The sequence below is a fragment of the Homo sapiens genome, chromosome 1, assembly GCF_000001405.40.
Source record: "Homo sapiens chromosome 1, GRCh38.p14 Primary Assembly".
NCBI classification, from domain to species: domain Eukaryota; kingdom Metazoa; phylum Chordata; class Mammalia; order Primates; family Hominidae; genus Homo; species Homo sapiens.
In genome coordinates, this window is record NC_000001.11 from 34,279,060 (window position 1) to 34,296,197 (window position 17,138).

General features: G+C 43.0%; 1 long non-coding RNA gene across 1 annotated transcript; it reads left to right on the plus strand.

Annotated features, from left to right (window-relative positions):
- Positions 1–788: 788 nt before the first annotated feature.
- On the plus strand, positions 789–16,889 carry LOC105378639 (uncharacterized). The gene is made up of 4 exons (XR_947169.2): positions 789–1,211; positions 1,879–1,948; positions 13,870–14,040; positions 16,602–16,889. It is a non-coding gene; the product is annotated as an uncharacterized LOC105378639 (long non-coding RNA).
- Positions 16,890–17,138: the final 249 nt, after the last annotated feature.

Sequence of the window (17,138 nt, forward strand, 5' to 3'; positions counted from 1 at the left end):
CTGTGCAAAAGGCTGGGAATCCCGTGGAGAAGAGATCAGATGCTGCCCTGGCTCTCGTGGAGCTTGGGGTCCAGCTGGAGAGAAAAACGTTAGACCAAAACAAATTCCAGACATGCATTTACTCAGCCTCATGATTTTTAAGTGCCAAGGAGGGAAGCTTAGGGAAGGCGCTAGAGGAAAAACAGCCGAGGTAAGGACCTACCCTCCTCCAGGGCAAGGGAAGGTCTTGTTGAGCTTTTACTATGCACATTAGCTGTGGAAACCTTCAAGGCATAGCATTTCCCAAACTTTCTGGCAATGGGACTCTTTTCAGGGGTCTTTATGGGCTCATTTCTGAAGGATGCTCTTTGAAAAATGCCAACAGTTTGCTCCCACTGCAAGGTCTGTAACCCAGATCTGTCTCAGACGAGTCAGGTATCTTCACAGAGGTTGCTCAGTTTCTCTGAACCTCATTTTTCTCATCTATGAAAAGATGTATTAATTTTCTAGGGCTACCATAACAAATTGCCACAAACCAGGTAGCCTTAAACAACAGAAATGTACTCTGTCACAATTCTGGAGGCTCGAAGTCTGAAATCAAGGTGGTGGGAGGGCCACACTCTGGCTGAAGGCAGTAGGGGAGAGTCCCTCCTTGCCTCCTCCCACTTGTGTTGGCTCCAGCCACTCCTTGGGTTGTAGTTGCATCACAATCAAGGTTGTGATGGAGGCAGAGATTGGGTTGTGACTCCAGTCTCTGCCTCCATCTTCATATGGCCTCTCCTCTTCTCTCCCTGTATTTTCTCCTCTTCTGTCTTTTAGTGAGGACACTTACTTGCCTTTGGATTTAGGGCCCACAAAGATAACCCAGGATGATCTCATCTTGAGATCCTTAAGTACATCTGCAAATACCTTTTTTTCCAAATAACATCACATTGGCAGTTTCCCAGACATAGCTTTTTTGGGGGATGGGGTTGGGGGAAAATTCAATTTACTACAGATGAAAATCACATAACTTGTTTCAGAGAGTTGTCATGAGAGGTCCCTGAAACAAGGTGTGTGAGGCAGCCTGCCCCAGAGTGGGTGGGTGTTAAATGTTAGTTTTCTCCTCTACTTCTCCCTCTGTCCTCAAAAAGGTTTAGCACTACTAATTCACAATGAAGTGGCTGGGGCCGAAGGGTTTCTTCTCCCAGCCTACCTCCACTGGAGAGAATTTCATTTTAATGAGGAGTCAGGTGAGGGACATTACTCCTCTCCTTTTTCTGAAGGCTTCCCCCTTCTGAGTTCTGGGTCTCTACAGGAGTTGTTTCTTATCTTTTCTTAGAGGGTCCTAGCTAGCTGCATCATCTCCAGCCTGGGCTTGTCCTTACCAAGTCATCAGTGCAGATGTTTCTGGGAATTGAGGGGTGTAGGGGGAGCCAGCAAACCCTGCCTGAGGCATTTTCCACTTCTCTGACAGCTCTCAGGGGACCCCCATCTTCAAAGAGTGCCTCAGTGCTTTTCCTCATCATCTCCTGGGTTTTCGCTGCAAAACAAAGACAACCTCTCCGACCTCTTCCCTTTTCTGCCATTCCTTGTTGAGATGTGCTTGTCAAGCAGATGTTGAGGGGCCATGAGCTAGATATTGTTCAGGGAGAAAGAAACAAGCATACCAAGAAGTGGCTTAAAGTCCCCCATGCCTCTGGGGTGCTTTCATGGTCTTGTCCTGTATCCTGACTTCCCCAAGCTCGGACCTCCACAAAGGCAGGCCCCATGCCTCGGACCCCATCCCTGTGCCTCTTGGTCCCTGGGCCCTTTTGCAACACTGTCTCTCATCTCCATGCTCTTCCTCCATAGCTCCCCATAACCCCCTGGTAATGACAAATAGATGGTAATTGCTTACATGCAGCTGTTCAATCCTAGGACTGTTGAGAGAGAACTTAATGTCCAAAGAAGTCCCCAAGGAGCCACATGCTGCTTGAATTATGTAAAGGTGAGCAGAGAAGGGTAAATTTCATATGCAGAAATCCTTTATGGCATTAAAGTTTCATGGGAAAACCTGAACCCTTGGACTCATATTTCTGATCAAAGCTTATCTTCTTTCATTTAGCACACACTTATTAAACTCTTATTATGTACAAGACCATGGTGTAGGTGCTAGAGGGGGAAAAATAGATGAATTAATGAGTCTCAGACCTTTCTTGTGGGCTCCTCTATCCCCACATGCATACACCCTAGAACAACAAGCTACTCTGAGATAAAATTATACCCAGATGGACATCATATCATCCATCCATCCCACTATTCCCCCAGTAAGTATTTATTGAGTGCCTGGCGTGAGCCAGGTTCTGTGACAGATACCAGAAGCACTGAGCTAGGTGCAGGATGAGACATCTGTTGAAAGGAAGAAGTGATCAAGTCTTTTTAAAAATCACTTTTAAAATTGATATATAATAGTTGTTCATATTTTGGGAGTACATTTGCTATTTTGATACCTGTATACAATGCGTAATGATCAAATCAGGATAATTGGGCTATCTATCACTTCAAACATTTATGTTTTCTTTGTGATGGAAATATTATAATTATCCTCTTCCAGCTATTTTGAAATACACATTAAATTATTGTTAACTATAATTTGCCTACAATACTGTCAAATACTAGAGCTTATTTCTTCTATTTAACTGTACATCTAACTGTATTTTTGTATTCTTTAACCAACTTATCATCACCCTCCCTGACCTGGCTTCCTAGCCTCTAATAACCACCAATCTGCTGTCTTCCTCTATTTGATCCAACTTTTTAGCTCCCACATGTAAGAACATGTGACATTTGTCTTTCTGTGACTGGCTTATCTCATTTAACACAATGAGCTCTGGTTCCATCCATGTTGCTGTAAATGACAGGATTTCATTCTTTTTTATGGCTGAATAATATTCCATTTTTTAATATTTACCACAGTTTCTATCCATTCATCTGTTGATGGGCATAGGTTGATTCCGTATCTTGGTTATTTTGAATAGTACCACAATAAACATAGGAGTACAGCTATCTTTTCAATATAATGATTTTCCCTTTTGGATGTGTACTGAGCAATGGGATTGCTGGATTATTTTTAGTTTTTTGAGGAATCTTCATACTGTTTTCCATAATTGCTATACTACTTCATATTCCCACCAACAGAGTATGAGCGATCCTTTTTCTCTACATCCTTACCAGCACTTTTTATTTTCTGTTTCTTTTTATAATATCCATTCTACCTGGGGTAAGATGATATCTCATTGTGGTTTTGATTTGTATTTCCCTGATGATCAGTAATGTTGAGCAATTTTTCATCCACCTATTGGCCATTTGTGGTCTTCTCTTGAGAAATGTCTAGTCAAGTCTTTTGCCCATTTTTAAAATCAGATTTTTTTTTGCTGTTGAGTTGAGTTCTTTATATATTGTGGTCATTAATTCCTTGTTGGATGAATAGTTTGAAAATATTTTCATTCTGTAGGCTGTCTCTTCACTTGTTGATTGTTTCCTTTGCTGTGAAGAAGCTTTTCAGCTTGATGTAATCCCATTTGTCTATTTTTGTTTTTGTGCCTCTCACGTGCATGTAAGATACAAACAAAGTTAAGCTTCCCATCCCATTTTCTTTTTTTTCCAGAATTTACATACATTCTGAGGGTAAATGCTCAGCCTCACAAGCTTTTCCTTCCTGGAGCTATTCTTTCTCTCTGCTTTACATCCGTCTCTTGTTCTAGACTTCCACAAGAGCCACCAACACAGAACATTTGTGTGTGGGTAGCAGCAGACCCCTCTGCCCTTGCTGGCTTGCTTCACCCCTCCCCAACATGACTATCTAAACAGAGAGAGGCTCAGTTATGCAGTGCCCATGCTGCTCTCATCTCCATGTGGGTCTCAGCAAGGATAAGAGTGTATTGTGAAGATTCGTCTTCCTGTTGATGGGAATATAAGCCCCACTAGGGTGGGGAATTTGCATGTCTTGTTCACTGGTATATTTCCAAGACCTAGAACAGGGCTTAGAACAGTGCCTGGCACACATGGTAGGGGACTCAAAAAATATTTGTTGAATTTGTTAAATGAATTGTGCCACACCCCTACCCCCATAAAACACTTAAACCAGAGACAACGGTTGGGGGCATCACATAGTGGCAGCAATGGCCAAGGTGGATAGCTCCAGCGTTATCCCTCACATTTAGAATGAAACCCAAAGTTCTCCCCATGGTCGAGATGCATCCTTTGACACATGCATCTCCAGCCACACTGGCCTTCTTGGGGCTCTTTGCTATGCCAAGAAAAATTCAGTCCTCTTTGAAAAGTCATGCCAGGCACACTGCTGCTCCAGGACCTTTGGCCCTTCCTCTGCTGCTCCTGCTTTTTGGCCCTTCCTCTGCCAAAACTGTGCTTGCCCACTACCCACCCCACCCTCCCACAGCTCACTCCCTCATCTTCCTCAGGTCCCTGCCCAAATGTCATCTCCAAACCACCCTTCCTTATTTTCCTTATTTTACATAAGGAATATTGCCTGCCATTATCATAAACATTATTTATGTATTTTTCTCTTCCCTTTGAGAATGGTAGCTCCATAAGGGTGGGGGCTTTGTCTTGTTTGTTTACTACTGACTGTATTCTCAATGCTTAGAACTGTGCCCAGCACATAGCGGCCACCCCATAAATATTTTCTGTTGAATGGATGAATGGAAATGAATGAACATGGGCCCTACTGCAAGCTCTTGATGGAGGTAGGACACGGAAGAGGTCTGGAGGACACAGAAGAGGTCTGGAGATGAGGAGGTTGGATCTGTCTCTCAGGGCACTCTCAGCTCTGATTCTGTGGCTCTGCCTCTGTGACTGTCATCTTCCAGGATGACTTTGTTTGCATGAAGTGGTAAAGAGAGGTCTATAGAGGAGGCCATTACCAGAACAGCTCTCAGAAACAAGTGGCATAAGGGAGGAGATAAAAGACAGATATCTATTTAACTGTATCAAGCCCTATAGAGGTGGATCAATTAGACCATGAGTAGTTGTCAAGGAGGGCAGGAAAGTATACCAGACCTCTGCTTGTCCATGTGGTGCCCTTGTACCAATGAAAGAAATGGTGCCCCTTTCTCTAGGTGCAGGGGTGCTGCATGGTGAGTGGAGTGAGAGCTGGAGTTCAGCTGACACCCATCCCCAACAGGCAGGTGCCTTTGTGCAGGGTACACCTTGCATAACATTATGTGGCAGTTTCAGGGTGTAGCTCAATCAGGGTTTTGTCTGAAAGTTCGCTATGGCATTTCTCTGTTGCATAGTTTAGGAAAAAATAACCACCCTGACTTTCAGCTTGTCCATGAGACCAGCTCAAACTCACATGACTCCTAAAGGGCAGAACTCCATCCAATGGGACAACGTGGTGAGCAGACTTGTATCATCCCCTTGCTATTTAAAGTGTGGCCTGTGGCCAGCTATATTGCCATCACCTGGGAGTTTTCATGAAATGCTGAATTTTAGGCCTTGCCTCACACCTGCTGACTCTGAATCTGCCTGTTGACAAGATCCCCTGGTGACTTCTGCACACATTGAAGTTTGAGAAATATGACACTGTCCTACCCCTGGGTTTCATGCTGTTCTATTACTTTTCTACTCAACTTGGAGTGCGGTTACTTCTACTTTGTCCACATGGCCTGTCACCAAATGTCCACAGGGCCAGCCAGCACAGGGTTCCAGAAAGATCACTGGACACTGAATTGTGCTTCAATGGCTGTGTGACATTGAACAAATCTTTCAATCGTAAGAGTGTAGGCTTCCTAATCTAGGGGAGAAAAAAAGGAATAATGGCTCAGCACTTTTGTGGGGCTCAAATGACATGATGGATGGGAAAGTGCCTTGTTTGTCAATTGTAAAATTCTACCCAAGCACAAAAGATTATTGCTCCCACATAGTGTAATATGAAGACCACCGATAGAGAGCACTTCTGCCTAGAATGCTACTTCAACAAGTTAGGAGAAGGTACAAGATGAATGGCCTTGGGTCGGTGGACTCCAATTAGCAGACTGGAGTAGGCGCAGGAATCCACAGACCCCTTAAGCATACAGGGATGACTGAGGGTTTCAAATGGGGTTTTGATGGCGGTGTTAGCTCCAGTCTGGAGGAATCATGAAGGGGAAAGGTGGGTAGAGGTCAGGTGGGGCATTTTCCAGGAAGGGAGGCTTATGGGGAGTGCCACATGGGATGAGTGAGTGGGAGGAGAGGAAGGCTTCTGCAGATAAACTGCCTGCTCCCAAGTGTGGCAGGGGACACCTTCTCACCTCCTCACCCGCTATTGTATTTCTTATTTTGCATCCAGAGGTTTTGTGCCCTGTGGAAATGATCAATACCATTGGAGCCACTTGGCTGGTCATGATCTTGGGAAATGCCATTTATTAGGAAAAAGTAGCTCAGAACACCATGGTGACCTTGGATTTAGCAGAGATTCCTAAGAAAGATGGGTGGTTGGATCCCACTGACATCACAGCACACTGCCATTAAAAGACTGGACACAGGAAGTGTTCAATAAATTCCCAAGAAATAGATAGGTAAAGGAATGGATGGAGAATTTTGCCTTTAGAAAGTTTTCTTAGTACAACCTACCCTAATCACACTGTTTTAAATTTAAGCTCTCTCATCTCTGGGGCTCCCAACCTCCTGTATCCTGCTCTCTCTCTCTCGCTTTCCTGTCCATAACACTTACCCTCTCATAACATACTATATAAATTATTTATTGTGCACTGTCTGTTCCCCACCCCCCCGAATGGAAGTCTACTAGACGGATCTCTATTTGTTTTAATCTGTGGATACAATCCTAAAACAGTGCTTGGCCCATAGTGGATGCTCCATAAGTGTTTGTTGAATCAAATTGAATTAAATGAATTAGAGGGATTTGTAGGGTCAGACAAATTCTTGTCTGATTTTGCCACCAAATCATCATGTGACTAGGATGATGGCCTTTGCCTTTCTGTGCCTCAGTTTCCCCATGCATACAGTGAGGAGGTTGGATCTATCTCTAAGGGCACTTTCAGCTCTAATTCTGTGGTTTTGCGTCTGTGACTGTCATCTTCCAGGATGGCTTTGGAAGACTGTTTGCATGAAGTGGTAAAGAGAGACCTATGAAGGAAATGAACAGACATAAGCAGGGGTCTTTGTTCTGAGACTTCTTAAGTGCTGGGACTTTGGTGAGATATTTGTCTTCTATTCCATGTATGATGTTCCTAGCACAGTGCCTGGTATGCCTTAGGAACTGACTAAACATTATCGTCTCCCTCTTCTCCCCATCTGGGCTTGCATGCTTTGTTCCAGATGAGCCTTAGCTCCCACAGTCACATAGCAATGATCTGAAAGAAATTGAAAACAGTAATGTACTCCCCAAATGTAAAGGGTTAGTATGATTACATGCATGCCCAACCTCTAACCTCCCTACACACAAATGACACTGAAACCATAATAGCTTTTTATATCAAAATTGTCTCATGATTCACAGCCTTCCTTCTCATCAGAAATGTTGCACCTGATGAGACCAAATTCACATTGGGTTTATCAAAGTCTAATTAAAACTCGATCATCGTGTCTAACATGTTGCCTTATTATTTGGGCTTAATTAGAGTGATGAGACGGGGCTGAGAGCAGCAATTCCAGCAGTGCAGTGATGCAACATCTGCGGAGAAGCAGGGCTCAGCCAGATGAGCAATTATGTTGAACGACACATAAAGCCAGGATCTTTGCATCTGACAGCTGTCTGGCCAGCCCCGCCTCCATTCAGGCTTGTGAAAGCCTGACCTATAAGCTCCCTTCTCCACCTTCCAAAGTAGTGGGAACTGATCAGACCCTTCAAAGAAGAGCATAGCAAAGCCACCACTGTGGGGAACATCCTGCTGTCATGGTTTTTAGTCACTGGGTGAAAGGAAGTGGGAGCATTTGGTAGCAAAAGAAAATGAATTCTCCTTTGGGTCTTGGATTTATGGTCAGGTGTGGTCATGATGCTGCTATGGATCATGCCAGAAAAACTCAGTCCTCTTTGAAATGCCGCCACTCATCTCTTCAGTTACAAATAACCTGAAATTGGGCATTTCTGCCTCTGCTCCCATGGAGAGGCAGGATGCATGGGGCTAACATTCAAACAACCTTCAAAAATGCTCACCAATACCAAAGCTGCAACCTGATCCATTAGGCTCATTATGATAGTGAGGGTAGGATAGCTGTTGCAGCAAATAGAGCCTATGGATACCAAGGATCCCCGTCTCCTGGCTCTCATACTCTTGTATAATTCTCCTTTTTCACTCTTGTGTAAAAGCCCTTAAGGTATGGACTGGACCTCATTATTTATTTCTAGTGAATTGATGTGGCACAAAAAAGGGATGTCACTTCTGAGATGAGGTTACTCAAGATGGAGAGTTCGGCCTCACTCACTCCCTCACGCCAGCTCTTCTCACTTGGTGGCCACTGTCACGTTGAGAGCAGCCCTGTGGAGAGGCCCACATGGCCTGGAACTGAGAGTTGCCTCTGCCTAATGGCCCGTGAGGAACCAAATCTTGCCAATGATCACGTGAGTGAGCTTGGAGACAGATACTTCCTTCCCTAGTCAAGCCTGGGATGACTGTGGCCCTGGCTGACACCCTGATTACTGTCTCGAGGGACCTTGAAGTAGAGGACCCAGCTAAGCCACACCTGGATTCCTGACCCACAGAAACTCTGAGATGATAAATGTTGTTGTTTTAAGCCACTAAGGTTTGGGGCAATTTGTTATACAGCAATAGGTAATTAATGTAAACCCCAATAAATATAATGGCTCAAATACAATAGAAATTTATTTCGGGTAACCAAATTACCTGTAACCATGCTTACAGAGTCCCTGTCATTTTCAACATTTTCAGTGGTTTCCAAGATTGCCCTGAAATTCTCTCCATATCAGCCAGTTGAAAGGGAGTAAAACAATGACGGAGCATGTATAGAAACATTTAAAATTTATTTTTAAATTGTAGTAAAATATACATAAGATACAATTTCCCATTTTAACCACTTTAAAGGGTATAGTCCAGTGGCATTAAGTACACTCACACTGGTGCACATCCATCACCACCATCCATCTCTAGGACCTTTTCCATCTTGCAAACCTGAGATATGGGAATTTTTAAGGGCCAAGCCTAGAAGTGGTACAAATCACTTCCTGTCACATTTCAATGACGAGAACTTAGTCTTATGGCCACACCTAACTTCAAGGGAGACTGGGAAATGTAGTCTGACTGTGTGCTCAAGAAGAAGAGGTAAAGATACATTTTTGGTGAGAAGCATTAGTCTTTGCCACACTTCTGTACAACAGTGTCTACATTCCAAAATTATGCTAAGCCGTAATTACAATGCAAACACCACCAACCCAATGACAAACTAACCTACAGTACCCTATGATCTTGCAGGCTCCACAGCCCCTCATTGGTGTGCTCTTAATTTTAGAATTAAGGGCTTTTAAAAGAAATCTCTTAAAAGGTAGATGGCTATAGATTCCCCGATGCTGCACTGAGAAACTTTGCAAAATGTATTCTGGACATGTAATATCACCATATCAGTGTGTGCTCCCTACACACTTTGTAATGTTTTTTTTTAATTGCCTGGGACATTTGCTAGAACCCAGGATTTTGTTCTCTAGATACTCTCCTCTCCTGATGGCAGCTTCCTTCATCACTGTCTCATCATATCAAAGATGGCTGAAGTGGAACTGATGGTCCCGTGCTGCATGACACCTTCCTTTCCCCAGTGGATAACAGCAGTTTTTAAGACTGGGGACTCTAGGGAAGCCCCACCCATCCTAGAGAGGGGTGGCTTTCACTGTCAAAGACAAAGTGACTTTTGGGGGCCATTTGAATCTTATAGCCAGGGTGACCTATTCCATTTCTTAAATCTCTCATTTCTAGCACGTTTTAGAGTTCATTTTCATGAGAAACTGTCTATCGATGAAATAAGGAAGAAAAGGCAGGAACCCCGTGATCTCTTGCAGTTTCTCTTCTAGCTCACGTATTTGAGTTTAGGGTGAGTGGTTTTGCAAATTCTCTATCTGTGAAAAGTTCATTTGAAGATCCACTGCCTTAGAAATTGCCAGATGAATTGAAATTTCCATTCTATAGGAGTAGCTGGTATTTTGAGCACTTTTAGGTACTTGGGCTCTACTTGTCTGAACTTGGGCTGTACCATGATGGTATCTGAGCAACCATTCCTTTGGTGTATATTGGCTCATGGTGCCTGGCTGGGTGAAGTGCATGTAGCACCCACTGGTACTATTCCTGAGGCCAGAGTTCCTGTCCCCAAGTGTCTCATAGTCTAGGAGCAGAGACATAACATCAGTATGATGCTGTGAGAGGAGGGTAGAATGTGCAGGAGATGTTATAGTGACAGAGAGGAGGGTTCTCTAATCCATTCCCGTGGAAAGAAGGAAAGGCTGAAAAACTTCTTAAAGAGACATATTCAAGTAAAGTTTAAAAGGATAAGTAGGAGTTAGCCAGAAAAAGCAGAAGCATAGAATGCGTAAGGAATAAAAGTCAGCATGAGTGAAGTTAGAGACATGAGAACTTATTATGTACTTGAAACTGCAAGTGGTTCAGGAAAGCAGTATAATGGTGACAAAATAGGCTTTGAAGTTTGACTGAGGAAGCTGGTCTCAGACAGCCTCACTCAGCAGCTGCTTGGCTGATTATTGGGTGGAGTGACTAGACCATAGGGCTGTCATCATCCGAGTGGCTAGCACAGGTTTGCTCACACGGCAGTGAGTCCCAGGCTGGGGACTGGCACAATGTTGCTTTGCCATCTTCTTTTAGCTAAAGTTGGTCAAGGCCAGTCTAGATTCAACAGGCAGATAAATAGACTCCACCGGCTGATGGGAAGAATTGCAAAGTTACATTACAAAGAGCAGGTACAGAGAGGGGTAGCGAATTGGGACTATTTTTGCAAATAAGCTACCATAGAATCTACTCAAGATCAGGGTATAGAACAAAAAAGTGAAGAAAGCCCAGCACGTAACTCTGTCATTCCAGGTCAAGAAGGGGAAGACAGTAGTAGCCTAGGAGAATATGGGAAAACCAGGAGAGTGTGGTTTTCAGAAGCCAGAGAGAAGAGAGAGTTTCTAGAAAAGATACGTAGTTAACAGTGTCAAGCTGCTGAGAACCCAAGGGACATAGTGACTGTAGAGTAACCACCAAATTCCAAATGAAGGTTGCTGGTAACAATGGTGAGGGCAGACTCATGGTGGAAGTAAGACTACAGTGGTTCATGGAGAGAGTGGGCCATAAAAATTGGAGACAAAAAAGTGCTGACCATATTTTCAGAAAGTTTTGATGGGAAGAAAGGAGAGATATTTGGTAGTAGCTAGTTAGGGGTAAAGGAAAGAATAGGTTCTTTTCTTTTTTTTTTTTGAGATGAGGTTATCTGAGCAAGTTTTCATGCAGCTGGGAAGGAGCTGGTAGAGAAATGGAGGAACAATATAGGGAAGAAAGGAAATAATTAGAGGAATATTCCAAAAAGGTGGGAAGGAATAAAATCCAGGCTGAAGTACCACTTTTAAACGGAAGAAGAGACATGTAACTGGTGAGAGGTCAGAAAGGATAGTTTTAGACTTAGGTAAGTTTATATGTTGATGGAGGAATAAAATCCAGGCTGAAGTACCACTTTTAAACGGAAGAAGAGACATGTAACTGGTGAGAGGTCAGAAAGGATAGTTTTAGACTTAGGTAAGTTTATATGTTGATGGAGGAAAGCTCAGGTAGTTCACCTTTCCAGTGGCTTCTGTTTTCTCTGTAAATTGGAGTGAATTCATATGCTCAGGGAGAGAAGGGGAAGTGAGCTTGAAGAGAGTTAAAACTGGCAATAACCACTGTGGAGAATGAGATAGAGAGCTGACAAGGGAAATAGAGAAGGATTGCTAAGCAGCATTGAGGGGCCATTTGAAGTCAGAGACCATAAATTTAGAGTGGCACCAATGATTTATAGTGACACCAATGTGTGTGGATTTCCAGCAGTGCTTAGCAACCAGAGATGAGCGATAATTGGATTCATCCAAAGTTGGTGTTTTTCCACAAGTGGGATTGGGGGAACAATGGGACAAGGGTATTGGTGAGAGAGAGATTGAAATGATAAGAAATGACATCTGAGCTGGATAGCGAAGGAAGTGAAGACAGGAGGGGGCTGAGATACAGAGGAAAATGAGTGCTGGTATCATGGACAAGCAAGGTAACATCTCAAGCTCATCTCTTAGGAGTGAATTTGCACCATGCTTTTTATAGCCCATGCTCTTCAATCTTCTCCACACTTTGGTATCTTCCACAGTTTACTTCCTAGCAAGAACTCCACAGCCCCATGACCCTAACAACTCACAGACCACAAAGAGCTGGGAACACCAGGTAATCAGTGGAGACAGGACAGTGAGCCTGTCCTATCCGCATAGCTGTCTCTCCTGCAAATTTCCTTTTTTATAAAAACGTTTAAGTTCAGGGGTACATGTGCAGGTTTGCTATATAGATAAACTTGTGTCATGGGGGTTTGTTGTACAGATTATTTCATCACCCAGGTATTAAGCCTAGTGCCCATTAGTTATTTCTCCTGATCCTCTCCCTCCTCCCACCCTCCACCCTCTGATAGGCCCCAGGGTATGTTGTTCCCTTCTTTGTGTTCACGTATTCTCATCATTTAGCTCCCACTTATAAGTAAGAACATGTGGTATTTGGCTATCTGTTCCTGCTTAGTTTGCCAAGGATAATGGCCTTCAGCCACATCCGTGTTCCTGAAAAGGACATGATTTTATTATTTTCTTATGGCTGCATAGTATTCCATGGTGTATCTGTACCACATTTTCTTTATCCAGTCTACCATTTATGGGCACCTAGGTTGCTTCCATGTCTTTGCTATTGTGAATAGTGCTGCAACGAATATACATGTGCATGTATCTTTATGATAGAACAATTTATATTCCTTTGGGTATATACCCAGTAATGGGATTGCTGCGTCAAATGGTAGTTCTGCTTTTAGGTATTTGAGGATTTACCACACTGCTTTCCCACAAAGGTTGAACAAATTTACACTCCCACCAACAACGTATAAGCTTGCTTTTTTCTCTGCAACCTCACCACCACCTTTTATTACAGATTTTCAGTGAAACCAGCACCCACTCCGTCGTTTAGCCCAGAACCCTGGGGGTCATCTTCAGTTTCTCCATTTGTCTCCCTGTCCTTCACCAAATCCATCACCAAATATAAGGAGACCTCAGTGGTCTCCTTGCTTTATTCTCCACTCCCACAAATCCACTCTTCACACAGTAGCCAGGATGTTTTTTTAGGAATATGGATTAACTCAGATATAGTCACTTCTCTGCTTAAAGTCCTTCAGAGTTCCCACTGCTTTCAAAATAAAGTCAAAATCAAAAGTTCCTGATTTCAGGTCAAAAAATCATGTAAAAGCGTCCTTGGATAGGAGGCAGAGAACAAATACAAAGTCCTAAAAGGCTGGTGTGGGTTAGTCAGTGAAGCATGAGGGGATGTGGGGTGTTCAGTGAGGAGGAGGAGTCAGGCAGGGCCCGGATTATACAGGCCTTGGAGGGGATTATGGTGAGGAGTCCAGGACAGTCACTTTTTGAAAGGACCTCTCTGGCTGCAATGTGGAGACCAGACAGCTAGGAGGCAAGAGTGACTATAGTTAGGCCAGTGATTGAAGCCATTGTAACAGTTCAGGCAGGAGTGGATTGCACCTTGGACCTCTTGGTGTTGGAGATGGAGGGAAGCAAATGGATGAACAAATGGATGTGGGAGATATTTTAGGAGGTAAAATGAAAGGCTTGGAACATCTTTTCTATCCCCTGCTCCTGTATTTATTGGTTAGTGCTGCCTTATATTCTGAGGTCAATTTCTGTCTTTTCAGGGACTCTTTTCCTGACATTCCAGACTGTGTTATACAGAAGCCCAATAAATGTTTGTGGAACTGACATGATAGAGAAAGTTCTTGTAAAGATGGAAGAGATTTGAGTGTGGATATGGACTAAGGAAAAAGTTCTAGCAGAGAGGTGAAGATTGAAGATGCTAAAGAGAGAAGGTAATCGACAGAGTGAGGTTCTCAAAGAGGAAAAGGGCATGGTAACAGAGGTGGAGGGGTCAGCCTTGGATCAGAGGAAACATGTAGTTCTGCTGGATTACACTGGAGAACAGTAACCTCATGCTGGTGGCTAGACCAGCAATTACCAGATTCTCTTAGTCCGAAGTTCCCTTTTTGATGTCAAAATATTTCCCAAACTTCCAGATACACCTATATTTTTATTTTTTTTTTAACTTTTATTTTAAGTTCAGGGGTACAAGTGCAGGTTTGTTACATAGGTAAACTTGTGTCTTGGGGGTTTGTTGTACAGACCATTTCATCACCCAGGTATCAAGCCTAGTATCCATCAGTTCTTTTTCCTGATCCTCTCCCTCCCCCCACCCTCCACCCTCCAAAAGGCCCCTGTGTGTGTTGTTTCCCTCTATGTGCCCATGTGTTCTCATCATTTAGCTCCAGAGAACATGCAGTATTTGGTTTTAATATCCATCAATTGATAAAATATATGATGGCAAGAAGCTCTATGAATTCAGGAAAACTTTCAAATAAATTTACTTCTTGTTAATCACAACTTTATCTACTTTCCTTTAAAATGGCACATATATGTATGAAACTTTTTTTCCTCTAGAAAATACCCAGTGCAGTAAAACTTTGCAAATCTAGATGCCCTTTGTCCCAGGCTCCTGAGTCTAGTGATTGGGACTCATTTTCTAGTCCAGACCATCTTCTAATGGGAGTTGATCATATCTGTTACTATCTGCCTTCCCCTAGACTGAGAGATCTTTAGGGAAAGGATCTCTGCCTTTTTCATATCCCTAGCACCCAGCATAGGACACAAAACAAAATGAGTTTTTAAGAATTCTGGTTGACATTGTGGAAGTCAGTGTGACAATTCCTCAGGGATCTAGAACTAGAAATACCATTTGACCCAGCCATCCCATTACTGGGTATATACCCAAAAGATTATAAATCATGCTGCTATAAAGACACATGCACATGTATATTTATTACGGCACTATTCACAATAGCAAAGACTTGGAACCAACCCAAATGTCCAACAATGATAGACTGGATTAAGAAAGTGTGGCACATATACACCATGGAATACTATGCAGCCATAAAAAATGATGAGTTCATGTCCTTTGTAGGGACATGGATGAAGCTGGAAACCATCATTCTCAGCAAACTATCCCCAGGACAAAAAAACCAAACACCGCATGTTCTCACTCATAGGTGGGAATTGAACAATGAGAACACTTGGACACAGGAAGGGGAATATCACACACCAGGGCCTGTTGTGGGGTGGGGGGAGGGGGGAGGGATAGCATTAGGAGATATACCTAATGTAAATGACGAGTTAATGGGTGCAGCACACCAACATGTCACATGTATGCATATGTAACAAACCTGCACGTTGTGCACATGTACCTTAGAACTTAAAGTATAAAAAAAAAGAATTCTGGTTGAATGAATGAAAACACATAATCATTTTATTATTATTTAACTTGAGATGGTATCCAGATATTCTCACATATTCAGTTTCTGCTGGGTTTTCCAAAGGAAAATAATTTCTGGTTCAGTTTTCCAAAAGAAAATAAATCATTCTACCAAAAAGACACATACAATTGTACATTCATTACAGCACTATTCACAATAGCAAAGACATGGAATCAACCTAGATGGCCATGCATGATGGGTTGGATAAAGAAAATATGGTACATGTCTACCATGGAATACTACAAAAAATAACAAGTGCATGTTCTTTGCAGCAACATGGATGACACTGGAGGTCATTATCCTAAGCAAACTAATACAGGAAAAGCAAGCCAAATACCCCATGTTCTCACTTATAAGTGGGAGCTAAACATTGAGTACATAGGGCCATAAAGATGGGAACAATAAACACTGGAGACTACTAGACAGGGGAGGTAGGAAGAGGGGAAGAGTTGCAAAACTACTTATGGGGTACTACGCTCACTACTTGAGTGATGGGTTCAGTTGTACCACAAACCTCAGCATCACATAATATACTCATGTAACAAACCTGCATATGTACCCTGGATCCTAAAATAAAAGAAAAAATAAATAAAAATGAAAAAAATTAATAAAATCCTGATTTTCTTTCTCCCTAGTGATGAAGATAATCAAAGTTCAGCCCATTTCCTTCAGGTGCTCCTCTATGTAAGCTGAGAAAGCCTTCCCTGGCTCGGGTTTATTTTCCTGCTTCTAGATACTCTTTAGCAATGCATCATCTTCCTAAAGTGCCTGGCTCAGTCCACGGAGTAAAATGTACTAAACGAGTAGGCACATCCTGTCCTTCAGATGTTCCAGCTTGAAACTCAAATTTCTGCACTTGCACATGCTTGTTTGGCTAAATGTGTCTTGTAGCTTAAGCCACTGCACACAGCTGATCTTTTATTTTGAACATTAATGTATAAATCTGAAGGGAAGAATCACCTGGCTTTATAAAGAGGCATTTCAATCCTTGTCACTTTAATTGAATCCTTTTGATGGTAGAGGCCAGCAGAGACACCAAAACCCAGGATGTGATTCTTTAATTCTAGGTTGTCCTTGGACTCATGGAGAGAAAGCTGGCCCTGAGCTCTTGGGGGCACTGCTCACCAGGAACTAATTGACACATGGATTTGGAAGTTCAGTTGGCGAGTCGGCTGCTATTTCACAGGCATCCCCTTTTGCCCCTGAGAGTGGTTCTTCCAGCCACCAATTTAAAGTGGAGGGAGAGGGACAAAAAACCACCTGCCAGGTATTATGCTTATTACCTGGGTGTCAAAATCATCCATACACCAAACTTCTGTGACAAGCAGTTTACCTATATAACAAACCTGCACATGTACTCCTGAACTGAAAATAAAAGTTAAAAAAAAACAATAAAATGGTAAAAATGTCCCACATGGGCAGTAGACAATGACAGTTGTTGCTCTGGAGGTGGGAAAGGCTGAATGGTGGTCTTGAAATAGATGGGACATGGAATACACACACAGGCGAGCACTCACGCTGCAGGGCAGAGGACCAGACACCTCTCATGTGGACTCCTGCTGACTGGCGAACTCCCCTGTGTCTTCAGCCTCTTCCCCACACCC